The sequence below is a fragment of the Homo sapiens genome, chromosome 7 (assembly GCF_000001405.40).
Source record: "Homo sapiens chromosome 7, GRCh38.p14 Primary Assembly".
Lineage (NCBI taxonomy): Eukaryota > Metazoa > Chordata > Mammalia > Primates > Hominidae > Homo > Homo sapiens.
Genome location: NC_000007.14, coordinates 142,423,757 through 142,442,695, shown reverse-complemented (window position 1 = coordinate 142,442,695; position 18,939 = coordinate 142,423,757). Strand labels below are relative to the sequence as shown.

At 42.4% G+C, this 18,939-nt stretch overlaps 1 pseudogene, 2 gene segments (V, D, J or C) and 1 further gene, besides 10 other annotated features; all 4 read right to left on the bottom strand.

Moving 5' to 3' along the window:
- Positions 1-18,939, bottom strand: part of TRB (T cell receptor beta locus) — a 514,277-nt gene that overhangs the window by 370,592 nt on the left and 124,746 nt on the right.
- Positions 1,332-1,340: a recombination feature (RSS_nonamer).
- Positions 1,341-1,363: a recombination feature (RSS_spacer).
- Positions 1,352-2,551: an enhancer, noted in NCBI's record as "CDK7 strongly-dependent group 2 enhancer chr7:142190619-142191818 (GRCh37/hg19 assembly coordinates)". NCBI's record gives its function as "activates an origin of replication core promoter dependent on BRD2, BRD4, P300/CBP, MED14 and CDK7 cofactors, with strong dependence on CDK7, by STARR-seq in HCT116 cells {active_cell/tissue: HCT116}" and the evidence as "EXISTENCE:reporter gene assay evidence [ECO:0000049][PMID:35650434]".
- Positions 1,364-1,370: a recombination feature (RSS_heptamer).
- On the bottom strand, positions 1,371-1,813 carry TRBV12-2 (T cell receptor beta variable 12-2 (pseudogene); annotated as a pseudogene). The gene is given in 2 exon segments: positions 1,371-1,668; positions 1,768-1,813. Coding segments are annotated over 2 exon segments (344 nt in total), but the record flags the coding sequence as incomplete, so codon positions are not given.
- Positions 8,263-8,271: a recombination feature (RSS_nonamer).
- Positions 8,272-8,294: a recombination feature (RSS_spacer).
- Positions 8,295-8,301: a recombination feature (RSS_heptamer).
- On the bottom strand, positions 8,302-8,740 carry TRBV11-2 (T cell receptor beta variable 11-2). The segment is given in 2 exon segments: positions 8,302-8,599; positions 8,692-8,740. Coding segments are annotated over 2 exon segments (347 nt in total), but the record flags the coding sequence as incomplete, so codon positions are not given.
- Positions 17,192-17,200: a recombination feature (RSS_nonamer).
- Positions 17,201-17,223: a recombination feature (RSS_spacer).
- Positions 17,224-17,230: a recombination feature (RSS_heptamer).
- Positions 17,231-17,680, bottom strand: TRBV10-2 (T cell receptor beta variable 10-2). The segment is given in 2 exon segments: positions 17,231-17,525; positions 17,632-17,680. Coding segments are annotated over 2 exon segments (344 nt in total), but the record flags the coding sequence as incomplete, so codon positions are not given.

Sequence of the window (18,939 nt, the reverse complement as noted above, 5' to 3'; positions counted from 1 at the left end):
CTGATCTTGAAAGTCTCAGTCTTTGAATAACAAAAATAGGACAGTGACAAGCGAAACCAGGGCCTCTATCGAAGAACTCGGGTAAACCCAAATTGTCTTGGGCATGCAAAATACAGGCACATTTTGCAACAATTGCCGATGATACACTGATAGGGGTTGAGAAATCATCAGTATGTAAATACTACTATAGAAGAAAGACATTATAACTCTTCATAATAAATTGCAAGTGCTGTGTAGAAATGTGTATCATAAACCAGAAGAAAAAAAATACAGATTTGGCTGTTCAGGACACAGCATCAGGGAGGAAAGAGGGCCAAGTAAGACTGGCCAGGCCTGTGTATGTTTTTTAACTTTATTTATTTATTTTTTGTGTGTGATTTGGGGTCTTACTCTGTTGCGATGATCATGGCTCACTCCAGCCTCGAACTTCAGGGCTCAAGCAACCCTCTCAACTCAGCCTCCTGAGTAGCTAAGACTGCCATACCAGGCTAATTTTTAAAATATATATATATTTTAGAGACAAAATCTCACTGTTTCCCAGCCTAGTCTTGAACTCCCCACCTCAAGCATTCCTCCCGCCTCAGCCTCCCAAAGTGCTGAGATTACAGGCATGAGCCACCACACCAGGCCCTGTGTGCTTTTAGACACCCTGTGTATATTCATATTGATAGTTCCAGAACAGGCAGTGGAGGAGATCTCATCAGTGTCCTGTGAGTGCACACAGACCTTTAGCTAGCACCTGGCTTGCTTTATGCAAGATAGAAACAAATGGATCCCTGTAGGCCAAGAGGGGTAGCTTACTTCTAATGTATTAAACTGCCTGTATTATCCACACTGAAGATCTCTTTAAGTTTAATGTAAAAATCCGTATATAAATGGTAAATTGAAATTAGCATTATAAAGGAATGTCCACAATCATAGAAAAGAACTTTCATTTACAATAAAGAGTACTTGTAGGGGAAATTTCTGTTCATGGCTTAGAGTGAGAAGGGAATGAAGTGGGCAGAGTAGTTCACAAGACATAGCCATTCTCAAGAGCTCCCACTGTTTGGATGGGAGTGTCAAATACAGGAAGGCAGGGAAACCTACGGTGTGGGTAATTAAGGTTTATCCTACCTGTGTGTGAGTTATGACCCCATACACAATTTGTGAGAAATTTGCAAAATGCATTTTCGACATTATCTCCTACACAAGATTTTGTATGTTGATATTGTATCATCTTATGTCTTTGCCATGCCCCAAACCCACTTAATTATTCTTGTGGGGAGGGTGAGGCAGGAAAGACTTTGCTCAGGACTGCTGGGAGCTGTGAGGAAAAGAGGAAGCACCAGAGTTTCTGCACAGGGAGGGGGAGATTCTGCAGCGCTGTGGCTAAGCGACTTGCACAGACATACACGGCCGAGTCCCCCTGCTCTGCAGGCTGGATCTTCAGAGTAGAGAATGATCCATCAGGCCTCTCAGCTGAGAATCGCTCTGTGGGCATACCTGCATTATCTATAATAGATCAGCTCCGGAAGTAACTCAGCAATTCCAGTCCCTGCACGAAGGTATCTCTGTACCAGAAAAGGAAATTGTGGCCAAAAATTGGCTCACATCTCAGAGTCACTGTTTGTCCCATTTCTGTCACCTCATGCTTGGGTGACTGGATAATGCCAGCATCTGTGCATGCTATAAAAGAACGCAAAATTAGGAAACAGAATAAGGAAAATACAGGAAGTCATCTATACAGAGGCCCAGCATGAGGATGATAAATACATGAGGACTCACTCGCTACCAGGATACAAAGGGACACACAGAGGGTCCAGGAGTCCATGGCAGAGTGAGAACAGATGTGGCACATTCCAGACCAGCGCCCTTATGAACATAAGCAAGAAAAGATACTTTGGGACATTTTACCCCCACAAGATGCATCTGTTAGTGACAACACTGAATGGCCCACCACCCCCAACTTGAAAGCTCCTTTAAGCGGAGGCTACATTTTTGGGAGATGAATCAGGCAGACTACATTTTTGGGAGATGAATCAGGCAGGACTGAAGTCAACTATAATTGATCTGAGATACAGATGCACACTTGCAGAGGATCCCTGTAGATTTGCTTTGATATTATCAATTCATAGCACCTTCTCCATAACATGCCTTACCTAGGAGCCTGCCAACTATATCCATCTGCACCTCAAACTCCAAGTATTTAAAGATGAACTCATTGCCTTATTGCAAGCCAGCTTCTCTGCAAACTCTCCTCTTCCTCTCACTGGTGACTCTGTGCTCCTAGTTCTTCAAATGCCTTTAAATGAGTTAGAAGTTAGCATCTGAGTTACCCAGGAAGAGCAAGCATGTCAACCGCGTTGTTAAAGATACAGGAGCTGAATCAGTGTCCCGGAAGCTCATTAGATTTCAAAGCTCTTCTTTGCAGTGAAGGGTCTCTCCGAGTTTATTGATCCTTGAACTCTATTGAGTTTGCAAAGCCCAGAGCACAGAATCTCTCACATTCTCTATCCACACAATAAATCAGAAACAAGATTGTCTTTCTCACAAAGATTTGGAAATTAAATGTTCCAGAGTTGATTTACATCTTATTCTTACCTCTAGCAAAGCTCAGCATTTCTTAATCTTTACACCTGGTCTTTTTCTTATAAAAGAATCTTACATCTCACTAACTGACTTCCTCTCGGGGTGTAGAGTATAGAGAACTGAGAGAACCTCTGCTCTATGAATTGGTCAACTAGGTTATTTGCTAACAAAGAAGAAGGAGCAGTTTAAGGCCACATTTTCGCTGTTGGCACAGAGGCATACAGCTGAGTCCCCTGCGCCCCAGGGGACTTGCCCATCCTAAGGAGCAAATAGTTTACAGATGAGCTTGTGTGACCTGAGGTGTCTGTTTCCTTGTGGGTTCCATCCCTTTGTTGTGTGTGTTAGATCCAGAATGTAAAACGGTAGTCATCAATCAGTTTTTAAGGTGACCAACACGTTTTCCTCCCTATTACCAGGTGCCTAGGTTTGGTAGTCAGAACAATGCCCCTTCAACCATGCCCAGGCCTAATCCCTGGAATGTGTTAAATTACCTGATAAAGGGGAATTAATGTTCCAAGTGAAGTGAGCTTGCCAATCAGCTGACCTTAATATAGGGGCCCAATGTAATCACAATGGTCCTAAAATGTGGAAGAGGGAGGATGAAAAGTGAGCATCAGAGTATGCAGAGTGAGCAAAGTCTCAGCCAGTCCTTGCTGGCTTTGAAGATTGAATGGGGCCATGAGCCAAGGAGCACTGGTGGCCTCTAGAAGCTGAAAAGGAGAGAAAAACAGTTCTTCCCTAGAGCCTCAGGAAGGAATGCAGCCCTGCCAACGCTTGGATTTTAGCCCAGTAACATCCATTTTGGACTTCTGACCTCCAGAACTGTAAGGTAATACTTGTGTGGTTGTAAGCCACCAAGTTAGTGGTAATTCGTTACAGCAGCAATAGAAATTGAATACCTTATAGTAGCCATGGGACTCATGAGAGAGAGAGGCAGAAGCCGGATACAAAATACTGGTAGAGTCAGATGCACGATCACGTGGAAAAACGAAATCAACCCAGGCAAAACAAACAAAACTTTTATATGCCCAGACCCCACCTTCTTCCAGGGACACAGAGGCATCTGGAGTAATAGAGTTAGAACTAGACTGCGGCATTTTCCCGCCCTGAGCAAAGGTTCTTGGGGGAGAAAATTCTGTCCTACTCCACCCTAAGCCTTGCTAATAAGTGTATATGCTGCTGGTACATCATTGTGATTGAAGCTGCCTGAGGACAGGCTCCCCCTGACATGGTCCAGGGTAGCGCCTCCATTTCTACCTGTTCTTCCCTCTACGTTCGACGGAACAGGTAGGGCTAGCCTCGGCCGGCTTGGGGCCAGGCTCTACAAGGCTCCTGTGACACAAACACTGCTTTTCTGCTTTCCCCAGCCCAGAACACGGCGCCGCACCACCCCAGCTCCTTGTGCCTCCACGTCTTCAGTGAGCTCAGACCTACATCCACTTGCAAGCCCATCTGCCACTCAGAGCCCTATTCAAATCTCAATTTACAGCAAAACCCATCTCCGCATCAAGAGGCAAAAGGGTTGGTCTCTAATCCCTTTATTTTCAGCCTTCATTGCAGGTACCTCCAACCCAGCTCCCTGACTCTAGGTCCAACTCCAGGGTTTTCATTAAGGATCCTCCAGGGAGCAATCCCAGCCCCTCCCCCATAGACTTTGGATGACAGTGAAGCCACAGTGCCTCCTGGTGGCCAGTAGGCAGGAACAGCACAAATGTGCTCTTTGTCAAGACCAAGGACTTGCACTTCCCTTTATTGAGCCATGGGGAAACGAGATACCATAATTTGTGGTGTTGGAGGGTCATAAAACAACATTATGACCTAAGATGGAACCACCTGAGAGATGGACATTACAGTCTGACAGATGGAGACATAATATCAGTTTTAATATCCATAAACAACCCGGCTCAGATGGGAGGGCAAAAAGACCGACCAACACTGTCTTGAATCAGAATTTAATCCATTCTCTCTCCCCTCCAAATTACAGGCCATCCCTATAAGGAAAAGAAAGTTTCCCACTGATCTTAGTGCATTTAAAAAAGCACCAAAAGAATCTGCTTTTATTCCCAGTAGCCAGGATGAAAGGGAGAGGATGAAGAGAGAGGAACCTCAGATGAAGAGGAGACTAAATAAAATAACTTATTTCCCTTCCCATAGGGAAGATTTGGCAAGCAATAGAAAGAATAAAACTGGAGCATTGCTTTAGGCAAGTTCCCTCAAATGGAAAATGTGGAGCAAAGTGTTTTCCCAGAAGCCTGGGCTTAAGTAGGAAAAGATGATAGTCACACATCTGTGACTCCCTCTAGTTCTGACCCCTGGCCCTCAGGTGTACTCAAAAAACATGGCACAAATGGATCACAACAATGCAGAAATGAAGTGTAAACCACAAATAAAATTAAAAGGCCCCCAATAATCTGAATGGACTTCCTACCCAGCCAGGGCTCTTTTAAAATTTAACCTGAGAGACAACCAATTGTCAACCAGAAAAATTTTAAATCTACCTTTAAGCTGGAACCTCTCCCCACTCCTGCCTCCAGGTGTCTGCCTTTCTGGCCAAAAACAATGTATCTCTTAATTGTGTTTGATTGAAGTCTCAAGTCTCATGTCTCCCTAAAATGTAGAAAACCAAGCTGCACCCTGACCACCTTGGGCACTGATCTCAGTACCTCCAGAAGGCTGTTTCACAGGCCATGGTCACTCATATTTGGCTCAGAATAAATGTCTTTAAATATTTTACATAGTTGGACTGTTCATCAACAGAAACTAATTCCATGTTCACTTTGTGCTCTCTGATCAAGTCTAAATATTCACTCTCTGTTCTCATCTTGTCTCATGATCCAGTGAAGCATCAAAGATTATGTAATAAATAACATAAAAATACTCAAATGATAAAACCTCAAAACCAAGTAAGGGTCCCAATTTGATTATAAATCCACTTCAAGTTTTTAAAAAGTTCTTTCCTTAAAATTAAAGTTTCTGTATAACATCTCTACGCTGTTTAAGTCAAATATCAAACAAATCAGACTAAGAATCTGACGTTAAAATTCAAAGAAAATTAAAACTTCAGATAAAATGTTTTGACCTTAATCTGTATAATTACAGAAGAGGGAACTCAGATTAATGCTTTTGTTATTATTTATGTACTTGAGTAAAATAACCACACTAACAAACTGCAACTAATTCATATCCTAAAGATACGATGAGGAATAACTGGGCCAGAATCTTGGAGAAGGCAGGGGCCTCGGGAGTGAGCACAGCAGTCACTGCCCTTATGGGCATTTGCTGATCCCAGCCCAGCACTAAGGAAGCTGACTCACAGTCCAGAGGGGTAAAGGCAAAGACCATAACTTACTTAATGTGACCATTGAGGGACTTGAATAGAATCAATGCACTAGAAGGAAGCCTGTCCTCCAGGGTCTCCAGGACACCTCAAGCCTTTAATTCTGTTCCAGGGAGTCCTGGATTGTTTATGCATCCATGCACTTTACAAAGCACAATAAAATTATCTCTGGAGAAAGATATATCCATCCTAGACCAGAAATTATTTCTACAGCCATAGTGTCTGGCATGATGTCAAAAATAATCAGGTTTAAAAGGAAAAATACAAACAAATGACTGAGAAGCAGCACACATACAAAAATGTCCACAAAGACCACAGAGGTGAAAATAAGCAGACAGACTGAAATAACTGAGTGTCCTATGCTCAACGAAATAAAAGATACACTCAAAAAAGGTTATGAGGGAATGACTGACCGTAAAAGATAACCTTATAGATCAGAAAAAGAACCAAATGAAAATTCTGGCAAGGAAGTGGAGGATGGTCATGGTCACCCACCACCTGGCTGAGGTGTTGTTAGCTGAGTAAATTGCAGGGAAGGAAGGGAGATGTGTAGTGAGTTCATGGCCATCAGTTAGGACCTGCAGTCAGGTGGATGGAAAGGGAAGTCAGGAGGGGCTGAGGGACAGTGACAGTCCTTCAGAAGATTCCCAGGAAGCTGCATTTCCAAACATTCTAACCAATACTTCAGAATAATTTCTAGTACAAGACAGTCTGGGCAGAAGATAGGGTAGAGACTAGAGTTGGACACACACAATGCATTATCAGAGGAGGCAACTGGACCAGGGGCAGTTAATTGCTTCTGAAGTTCTTTCAGGAATATCTAATGCACTGATGTATTAGTCTGTTTTCATGCTGCTGATAAAGACATACCCAAGACAGGGAAGAAAAAGACGTTTAGTTGGACTTACAGTTCCACATGGCTGGGGAGGCCTCAGAATCATGGCAGGAAGCAAAAGGCACATCTTACATGGTGGCGGCAAGAGAAAATGAGGAAGAAGCAAATGTGGAAACCCCTGATAAGCCCATGAGATCTCGTGAGACTTGTTCACTATCATGAGAATAGCATGGGAAAGACTGGCCCCCATGGTTCAATTATATCCCCCGGGTCCCTCCCACAACACGTGGGAATTCTGGGAGGTACAATTCAAGTTGAGATTTGGGTGGGGACACAGTCAAACCATATCAACTAAGGAGCTATTTTAATATATGAGGACAGACAAGTGAAAGTGTCCTCATCAGTCTCTGAACTAGCTGGCCTAGCCCCATATAATGTTGGGATATGTTTGTTACATGGAAGAGTTAGAAAGCTCTGGAGTAGCAGAATTCATTTTGAGCTAAGATTTTGGACTCGTTGCCAGGATATCCATTTGTGTGCATTTTTTTGAAATTTAAAGGGTGCTGAATGAAATAGTTGAAATTATCAACATCATCATCTTTAACATTACTCTTATTAGCATATTTCCGCAAAAACAGGGGAAAAAGATTTCCAAACACATAGTACCTGTTGAGATTTGGTTGCATAATACATCCAATGAGAGGTCTAGAGGAGGCTCCAGAGCCAGGGTGTCACCAAGGATAGGATTCAAATTATTCATATGCTGACAACTGCAGAGAGAAAACCTGCTGATTGTTACTCACATACAATCATTATCTGTATTATTAAAGTTTATCACACATGTTTATTGACTGCATGTTTTTATTTTTCAAATTTACGTATTTTTTAATTGATATAAAATATTGTATGCATTTTTTAAATAGAAGAACAACTATTAGTACCCCAGAAGACTAAGTCTGTGATAAGTCACTTTCAGTTTTGGTTTCTTGAATTCTCACCGATAGGTGTTTCAGATTCCTTAGACATATTTTCAAATAACAACTGCAGCCTTCATGTTTTAAGAAATAGTTTATCTCCAGCCAGGCACAGTGGCTCAAGCTTGTAATTCCAGCGCTTTGAGATGCCGAGAAGGGCGAATCACTTGAGGTCAGAAGTTCGAAATCAGCCTGGCCAACATATCAAAATCCCGTCTCTACTAAAAATACAGAAATTAGCTGGGCATGGTGGCACATGCCTGTCATCCCAGCTACTGGGGAGGCTGAGGCAGGACAACCACTTGAACTCAGGAGGCAGAGACTGCAGTGAGCCCAGATCGCACCACTGCACTCCAGCCTGGGCAATGGAGCAAGACTCCATCTCAAAAACAAAAAGAAAAAAAGAAAAGAAAAGAAAAAGTTTATTTCCTCCCACTATATGAGTCCTAGCTATATCTGAAAACTCACTTCTTCCTTGGGAGGATGAGGAATAAGGAAAGGCTGCTGTGAGCTGAGTAGAGAGGAGAGAGTCCTGCGGTTTTCTGGTTTTCTGCACAGGAGGGAAGTGTCTCTGCTACACTGTGTCTAAGCTGCTGGCACAGAGATACACGGCCGAGTCCTCAAGCTTTGCAGGTTGGATCTTGAGAGTGGAGTCTACTCCTTTGAGCCTCTCTGCAGAAAATCGATCCTTAGGCAACTGTGAATCATCCACTACACCGTTATTCTGAAACTGAATCAGAAGCTTTGGGCCCTGTCCCAGGATCTGCTGGTACCAGTAAAGGGTAGCATGGCCAGATATAGGATTGCACCAAAAAGCCACACTCTGCCTTTTCTCTATAATCTTATATCTGGGAGACTGGGCAACTCCAGCTTCTGTGAGTTCTGAGAAGGAAAAAGACAGAATTTGAAAACAGAAGGAAATGATTGAAATAATCAGAGAGATCCAATGTGATCATGGTGTTCCTAGGACTCACCTGCTCCCAGGAGACAGAGGGCCGCCCAGCAGAGGAGCCTGGTGCCCATGGCAGGGTCAGGGAAGGATGGGAGCTTTGCCCAATCAGGGTCACTGTGAGCAACAGCAAAGGAGGAGGGACATCCCTGTCCTCTCATGGCAGTTCCCACAGTGACATCATTGCCTCCACAAATGCCTACATTGTTAGAAACCAATTATTATAAGCTAAAAGAGAGCACGAAGTTGCTTTACCGTATTCACAGACTGTGTAAGTTCAGCCAAGTGTCCTCACTCACATCTCTAGGGCTTGGGGACTGGATCTCCTACTCCATCTCTAGGCCCATCCTCTGCTGGATGTTTCGAGTTGAAGGCAACTCGAAACAGAGATATCAGTTAGTGACCTCTTTGTCTTATCAGCAATTATCCTTCTCTTTGGGTGTTTCTCTTTTACTAGGTTCTCTATCTTCCTTGTCCTATGCACTTAGAAGCTGGGGTAATTGACACAAGTTTATCCTAGAAGCTGACGCGCTGTAAGCTAAAGGGATAAAACAATAACCTGGGCACAGAGTTGGAAGGGTTCATTTTTAGTGAAGGCCGATGAACAGTTTCCTCTTTACTGTTATCATTCATGATACATTGTGTACCAAGCCTTCATCATGGTTCTGCCTGTAGTTTTGGGTCACCAGTGCAATGAAAGTAAGTTCTCATTTTTATCGAAGATAGGTGGGGAATTCTCTTATCCCTGAAAATATCAGTATATATTGTAAGAAATGCAAAATCAAAGAGACTTGCTGAAATCTAAAAATAACCTTATAGCTATACCTCTAGTGTAAATTACAGTTGAACAGTAGTGGTCATTATCTCTTTTTTGTTTCTAATGGGGCAACATTAGTCACAAACGCACTTTTATTCCTTGCCTGAGTAATAAGAAATAAAAGGAGTTAGGGGATGGCGCTCCTCAGAGTTGGCATAAGACAATAACACAAGGAGATGCACGTCCAGGGAGGTGGGAATGAGGATATATGTGTTCAGTGAGGTGCACTCAGAGATATTCCACCAAACCCGCAAAACCTAGGGGACACATGTCAAGGTTATCAGGTGAATACCTGTGGGTATAGAATTACCAGAGCCATCCGTTTCTGTCATAAATCCTTTACTACTGAGGTAAAAATCTGCTGGTTTGAGTCCAACTCATGTAGGCACCGGGTAATAATTGCATGATGGAAAATTTCTTCACATTAAGGGGCCACTACCTGCTCCATCTTTGTGACCAGGGTTACAGTTCTGGGTGACAACAGCATTCAGGGGATGGAGGCTGGTAGCTGGAAACAGGACTTATCTGTCTATCAAGCCTATCAGTCCACAGGACCTGCATGTGGTGTGCTTGCAAGTGAGGCATGCCAAGTCCAGGGAAGACATTCCTCATTGTTCCCAGGCCTCATCTGCTTCCTGGGCAGCGCAACTGAGAAATCTATGACAGAATTCTTGTCAAGGCAGGAACTGGTCATTGTGCTGCTCAGGGAAGAAAAGGCCAGAGCCCTGGGAAATCCGGTTTTTGTTAAGAATATCTGTAGTTACTACCTGCAATTTGGAATAGCCTATCTGGCATAAACTAGAATTGTCCACTCTCCTATATTTCCCTTACATCATCGTATACATTGTCCAGAGCACGACTAGAATAGGTAAGGTGTGAGGTACAGGTGCATTGCTCACATTTCTCTGAATTCTCCTGAGGAGCCAGTCATTTTCCCTTTGCATGGGTCTCTGAGCATTTAGGCTGGCTCCTGGTCCTCCTCCATCTACCTCCCATGCAAGCCCAGAAGAGTCTCCACTCAAAGATTTGCTACAGTTCAGATTTTACTGCTGAGCAGAACATGCCAGCACCAATGAAAGATAAAGGGTTTTTTTTTTAATATTTCACATTTCACTGACTACTCACAACTTCTGCAAACAAGATACTGGATACTAGTATACACACTTTTCCTTTAAACTTAACATCTCAGGCAGCACTGAGCGCTGTTTCAAAAACATTTGAACATCATCAAACCCCAGTGCCTTCTGATGGCCAGTGTCACTGGACTTAGGTCCTCGGTCCATGGCTTAGAGATACTGGTGGGACTTCTATACTATCTTCAATAGAATCAGGGCTAATATAGGACAGTGTTTGTGAGAAACCAGGGAAAATTTTTTCCCAGTTCCATCTGTTCTTACTGTCTTGCTAGAGCCTGTCCTATAGTTTAGTTATGGTGTGTTCCCACCAAAATTCATGTTGAAGCTTATTCGTCAATGTAGTGGTGTTGCTACAGGCACATTGCTCACATTTTTCTGGGGTAGTGTGAGCCTTATGGGAATTGTTTGGGTCATGGGAGTAGATCCCTCATCAAAGATTAATGCCAGGAGTCAGTTCTCTCTCTCCAGCATCTGGATTAGTTACCATAAAAGCAGGCTGTTATAAAGTGAGGGTCTTGCTCATCCTGGCTCTCCTTGCACAGGCCTGCTCATTTCTCCCACTTCTCTTCCACGTTGTGACACAGCACAAAGCCCTCAAAAGAAGTTCAGTAGATGTTGATGCCCTACTGGTCTTTCCAGCCTCCAGAATTGCAAGCCAAATAAAGCCCTTTTCCTTATAAATTTCTTTATACATTTTCCCAGCCTCAGGTATTCTGCTATAGCAGCAGAGGACAAACTGAGACAGCCTCCCTCTTTGTTGAACAAATACATATTGTCCAGCCCTAACTTTGGAAAATCACTACTCTTCTCTTTACATTCAGTCACCTTTGAAAGTTCTTGAGTTTTCAGCCAAACTGTAGAATACTCAGAATCTCTTGATACAGAGAAAACAGTCCTGTATATTTGCTAAAAGGCCTCTTGACATGCATTACTAGCTAAGTTTTGCACTGGTCTCAGAGATACCAAGCTGCTTTGTCCTCAGACTGCAAATTCTCTTGTTTTCTTTTGGGACTTTCTTAAAAATCATAGCCTGTCTCCTATTTAAAAAAGTATACTCTAGACTAAAAGATACCTTATTTGATATATTTATTTTATGGTAATGACATAGTATTTCAAATATATTAAAAATGAATATAAGAAATACCCAACAACATTATTACTCTGAAATAACACCAACATTTTATTTTGGTCTGTTAATATTTTTCTTCAATTTTTTTAAACTGAGCATCTATGGAAAAGGTGAGAGAATAATGAAATAGTCAGAATATTAAAATGTATATCTGTGTGCCGATTGTACATTTTGTGATTTTGCTTGATCTCTCTCTATATATTTTGCCCTCAATTTCTGAAGCATTTTATCCTTAATAATAAAATGAGTCTCCTAAAAAATTGGCATTATCTTATATAACCACAAATGTCACTATTATGCCCAAAACATTAGCATTCACATAGCATTGTCATCTAGTACATACTTCACATTCAAATTTCTCCAGTTGTCTCAGCATGTCCCTTGGTTTTGATTCACTTTTCCTCTAGAACAAAATCAAAGATCACGTATTTCATGAGGTTAGCAGTTCTCCTTAGTTACTTTTAAATTATACATCTCTTCCACCCACTTATTATATTTCCTGTTTTTCATGATTATAAGTTTTTGAAGTGCCTAGGTCAGCTTAGTTGTAAAATGAGCCACAACAAGAATTTCTATACTATTAGAGGTTAGTTACTTGGCAAATATACACCACAGATGATGTGTATTTCCTATTGCATCTGGTCAATCGCAAGAATGTGGAATGTCATTTTTATGCAGTTTTGTCAATGTATATTTGAGGTAACTGACACTGGATCTCTTCATTTTTAATATGTCTTTTACCCTCTGTAACTGAGTAGTAATCTGTGGAGTGATGCATTGGAAAAATGTCCATATCCTGTTCCAGTCCCAAAAGCATATATAAAACATGGTTGAAAATTCCTTAAATCTGGAAAAAGTTAGCAATATCCAGGTACAGAAAGCTCAGAGGTTGCCAGTTAAATTCAATCCAAAAAGGAGTTCCCTAAATCACGATATGTATTAGTTCATTTTCATGCTGCTGATAAAGACATACCAGAGACTGAGAAGAAAAAGAGGCTTAATGGACTTTCAGTTCCACATGGCTGGGGAGGCCTCACAATCATGGCAGAAGGCAAGGAGGGGCAAGTCATGTCTTACTTGGATGGCAACATAAAAGAGAGAGCTTGTGCAGGGAAAATCCCATTTTAAAACCATCAGATCTAAAAGAGACTCATTTAGTATCATGAGACAGCAGGAAAGACCCGGCCCCCATAATTCAATCACCTCCCCACAGGGTTCCTCCCACAACACGTAGGAATTGTGGGAGATACAATTCAAGATGAGATTTGGGTTGGGACACAGCCAAATCATATCAAAATGTAATCATTTTCTCTCTTCTATGGTATATTAAAAATGTTTAAGAAGTACCGCACTAAAAACACTACCAACCACAAACCTCCCAAATGAAGTTCAAACTCAATTTCTTTTAGCATTGTCGCAGTACACCAACATAATTCTAAAGTCAAGAGAGACCCCAAAAAAGCCGATCAGACAAAAAACATTACCTCCAAAGAAGGTGTGCAAATTGATCATAGGCATAAGAAAAGGCACTTAACATTTTTAGTCATTAGAGAAATGCAAATCACAACCACAATGAGATATCATTCACACTGACTAGGATGGCTATACAAAATAGTAATCATCATCATAATAATATTTTTGAAAAGAAAAACAAGAAATAAATGCTGGCAATTCTGTGAAGAAATGACATTGCTGGTAGGAATCTAAAATTGTGCAGCTGCAACCAAAAAAAAACCATTTTGGTAGTTACTTAAAAGGAGAAACATAGAATTACCAAAGGACCCAGAAGTTTCACTCCTGGGTATATACCCAAAAGAATTGAAAACAGGGCATCAAACAGATATTTTCAGGCCAATATTCATTGCACCATTATTCCCAATATCTACAAGGTAGAAACAACCCAAATGTTAATCAATTAATGAATGGATAAACAAATGTGGTATATGCATACAACAAAATATTATTGAGAAATGAAAAGGAATGAAGTTTTGATAAATGCTACAATATGAATGCACCTTGAAAGCATTAAGCTAAGTGAAAGATACAAGACACAAAAGGAAAAATAGTGCATGGTTTCACATAAATAATCTGCAATAGGCAAATTCATTCAGAAAGAAATTAGATTAGAGGTTAGCAGAAAGAGGGGGTATGTGGAGTTATTCTTTAGTGGGTATTGAGTTTCTGTTTGAGGCAATGAAAAGAAAATTGGAAACAGATAATGGTGACAGTTTCCCAACATAGTGAATGTACTTAATGCTGCTGAATTGTACAATTTAAAAATAAAGTGACAAAATTATATGTTACACATATTTCCCCCTGCCACCCACCCTTTTTTTTTGAAATGGAGTCTCACTCTGTCGCCCAGGCTGGAGTGCAGTGACATAATCTTGGTTCATTGCAGCCTGTGCCTCTGGGTTCAAGCGATTCTCCTGCCTTAGCCTCCTGAGTAGCTGGGATTACAAGTGTGAGCCACCATGCCCAGCCCACTTTTTTAAAAGATTGTTTTAAAAAACTACCTTTACAATAGGAAAAATAAATACTTAAAGTTGAATTTTCTACGATTGAACCTAAAGACAAGAAAAGGAACCCAAATGATTTATATACACTCATAATTTCTCAAGAAATGCTATTAGTCACAATATATCCCACAGTGGGTTTTCTGATGTGGTTGTCATTATCTCTTGTAGTGGATATATAAACGGTTTTCATTAGTCCAAATGTCTATTCAGATTTAGGACTGTCACTCCTTTGAAAAGTTTCCTATCTAGTAATTTTTGAATCATAACTTATTATTTCAGGTTGCTATATTCTGATTACAAGTAAGGTTGAAAAGTTATTCTCATGTTTAGTGGTAACTTATGTTCACTTGTGTGAATTGCCTATTTAGCTTCAGTATTGCCATTTTTATTGGGCTGTCGTCTTATTAATAAGAATGTTTTACTCATTTACGTACTAAGTTTATTAGAAAAGGACACCTATGCTACAGAAAAAAAAAAATAAAACAAATCCTAAAATCTCAGTGGCTGAACTCTATCAAGTCTTACCTCTCATGACCACAAAACCCAGTGGGGCATGAGCAGCTTTTTTTCCATGGCTGTCCACCAAATTATGACCCAGGGAGCCAAGCTGCTTCCAGTTTATAATCTGTGCCATGACCTCCCAAATTCATCCACACATGGCAAAAGAGAGTTGAAGAGTGTCTGTGCAGAAAAGAGTTGACAGCAGGCTTGAGACTGCCTGCTTGCAAGATTGAACTTTGGCTGATCTTTGGCCACTTGGCTGATGAGTGGTGCCCTGCACTGGCAAAGTTTCTCCTAACTGAGAGGAGCGGCTCGTTGTGCCTAGACTGGTGTTGCAAACAGTATTGTACTGAACACCAGATTTCCTTCTGGAGTCTGAATTTTTGGTTAATGCTAGGCAGTATGTGCTTGTGACCAGCCTCCTCTGAAACCTCATGAGTGCTGAGTCTCTGATGGACTCACTTGGTAGAAACACTGCACATGTGTTAATGCATTTTTGCTACGGAGTGAAGCGAGAACCCTGTGTGACCTCCCCGGGAGGAAGACAGCATAAGGAGGCCTGAGTTTGGATTCCTTCAGATTCCACCTGTGTTTTCTCCATATGATCTGCTGCTGACAACTTACTAAGACATGTTAGAAAATCTTAGCTGTGAGTACAACTCTATGCCATATACCACATCTCTAAACACGGGAGTACGCTTAGGGACCCTCAGCATGGACCTACAGGATATTTTTAAGGGCCAGACTTGAAATTGGGCTAACATTATTTTTACTCACCTCCCACTATTCAGAACCTGGTGACATGCTCCCAGCCCTCCAAGTGCAAATGAGGCCAGGAAGCATAGAGGAGCCATGGGTGAGCCTGACTCTTCTCTGTCACACTGATTTTTCATCATCTGCATGCATTCCTCATTTTTTTCCTGTGCTGTGGCTTAACATTTCATTTCTTATGCTATGTTTTGGTGTACAAAAGTTTAGTTTAATGCAACTGGAGTTACAAATTTTTTTTTTTTTGAGGTGGAGTTCTGCTCTTGTTGCCCAGGCTGGAGTGCAGCGGCATGATCTCGGCTCACAGCAACCTCCGCCTCCCAGGTTCAAGCGATTCTCCTGCCTCAGCCTCCTGAGTAGGTGGGATTACAGGCATGCACCCCATGCCCAGCTAATTTTCTATTTTTAGTAAAGACGGGGTTTCTCCATGTTGGTCAGGCTGATCTCGAACTCCCAACCTCAAGTGATCCGCCTGCCTCAGCCTCCCAAAGTGCTGGGATTACAGGCATGAGCCACCGCGCCCGGCCTCAAATATTTTTATGGCTAGTGGTTTTCTTATGTGTCATCTAAAAAACTAATTCCTCAAATGAGTGCTAAAAATATATTTCTTAATTTTTCTCTCATAAAATTTGTCTTGCTTTTTACAGTTAAGAGTAAATGTACCTGAAATAGACTTTTATGTAAGGAATGAAGTGGAGGCCTGGGAATAAGTTGGAGGCACATATGCTCAGTGAAGTAGAAATAATCTATTATTCATAAACAATCCCCAGGGTGGAAAACAACACTACACCTACGAAGCTGTAACTGAATGTAGGGGAGTGTGGCTAAAGCAGAAAGCCAGGGGAAACTTAATGCAAAATGATGATGGAGGCTGGGCGCAGTGGCTCACGCCTGTAATCCCAGCACTTTGGGAGGCCAAGGCGGGTGAATAACGAGGTCAGGAAATCGAGACCATCCTGGCTAACACCGTGAAACCCCATCTCTACTAAAAATACAAAAAATTAGCCGGGCGCCGTGGCAGGCACCTGTAGTCCCAGCTACTTGGGAGGCTGAGGCAGGAGAATGGCGCGAACCCGGGAGGCGGGCTTGCAGTGAGCCGAGATCGCGCCACTGCACTCCAGCCTGGGCAACAGAGCAAGACTCCGTCTCAAAAAAAAAAAAAAAAAAAACAAAATGATGATGGAGAAGCAGGTGAAGGGCAAATGATAGATGACCTTGTAGGGCTATTGCCCTTAGAAGAAAGGCAGCCAGGAGCAGAGACCACATGGGGGAAGATTTGTGTCTGTGAGTTGAAGGGTAGTAGAGGATACGGTAAGGTTTACACGAAGAAGTCACTGATCCCATAAGGGAGAGAAGAATATGTTGGCTTTGAAATTATGAAGGGAATTAGGAATATCAACAAAATATCTCTTCCATTCTGCAAGCAGAAAAAGAGAGCTGCAGAAGAAAGACCCAGCAAGGTTAGTGTGTTGGGGCAAACTCCAGATGGTCTGAGACAGGGGTAGGAATAGAGCCACAGCACTGAGGGTCATATGGCCCCTGCTCTAAGACACCCCCCCAACCTGGGCAGGACTCTGTGACTCCTATGGGGGCTGAGACGTCCCAGGGTGGGGCCCAGACTTGGGTGCACAGGCAACCTCAGTTTTTCTAACTGCCGTTTCCGTGCAGAGAGGAGGCAGCTGTGCAGCACTGTGGACTCACTGCTGGCGCAGAAATACACAGATGTCTGGGAGCGGGTAGCTGACTCCAGAGTGAGGGGGAAATTCTCTGTCTTGGATCTGGAGACAACGTAGCCATCGGGGACTTCTCCTTTATCTGTAATATCAGCAGCTGCTGAGTAATAGATCAGCCTCAGCCCATGTCCCAGGTCTTGTCGATACCAGAACATATAGCTGTGGCTCCAAGTCTGGTGACACATCAAGGTCACCTGCCTTCCTGTCTCTGTGATCTTGTATCTTGGGCTCTGGGTGATTCCAGCATCCCTGTGTCCTGTAATAGAGAACAACAGACACTGATGCTGTCATCCCAACAGAAAAGCTTGCATTGAGTCCTTGGGAATTCCAGGGAAGGAGGCCCTCCTGTGACCAGCCCTCACCTGCCCACAGCAGACAAAGGGCCACATAGAAGAAGAGCCTGGTGCCCATTTCAGCTCCAGGGCAGGATCTTGTGTCTCCCAGCCCTGCTGTGGGCAAATTGAAGTTGAGCTCTCAGTGACTTGATGATGTCACTGTCCCTGCTAAATGCTTGAACCTCAGAGCTAACCTGCCACATCTGTTCTCTTCCCCACAGGAACAAATCATTTATTATAGACATACTTGAGAAGCTTAGATTGGGAAAAATTTGTAGATCTGTTTTGAAAGAAATCTTAAAATGTGTAATCTCATTCCCTGATTTTAATAGGGGAATTTGTTCTTCTATGCGTATTTTACTCCCATTATGCTAAATTCTTCATTTGAATGCTGTTTTAACATTTATGAATATTTCTGTAGTCTAAAGAGCATTGTCATAGCAGTCCTGGTGACTTTTATGACTTCTCTGTACAAAATTCAACTCCAAGTTGAATTATTTTCCACTTTGTTTAACCTCTGGATATTTGTATTTCAGCCTACAGAGATACCCTTGGTTAAAAGAGTCAACTGACATCCAGAAAGGTTTCAAAGTTGTGGATTCAAGGTCTTTAACATTTGAAGTCTTGTTTCACACTGTAGCACCTCATTGCGCCTGATGGGAGCCTCACCATCCAAGCTCAGGCTGCGGTGTGTTCTCATGAGGATGATTTTTCCCTTTGCTTCAGGTGAAGCCACAAACACTCACCACCTAAGTCCCATAAGTGACTGTACTTCCTATGAAGAAAAGAGGAGGCTCATTAAGAATGTGGATGAAATGTTCACCCAGAACTACAACTATCTGGAGTCTCTAGGGTCACAGGGAAATGTTCTATTTCCATTCAGAAGATCTTGTATTCACTAAATGGGAGAAGATTGGAGGAGGTGTAAACGTGCTTTGGCACCAAACTTACATCCAGTCAATAGCACTGCTATTGTTATTTCAGATACAATAGATTATCTATTGCATATCTTGATGCAACCTGGATGGGTAATTCCCACAATCATGCTCCAGTGAGAGAGGACACAGAATCAGAAGTGGAGACAGGGAGGAGGCCCATGAGCATCCCCATGGGAGGCCGTGGCTGGGGCCTGGTAAGCCAAGGAAGGACTTTCCCATCTATGCCCAGAACTCATCTGGTCCTGGGAGACCAAGCAAAGGGGCCAATCTTCGTGGTTGGGCCAGGGCAGGGGAAAAAAAAATCTTTTCAGTGCAGGACTTTCATTTTTGGGATACGGCACGTAGAATCCCAGAGCTCTAAGGATCCTTCCCTAAATGAGGTGTGAGCTACCCAGAA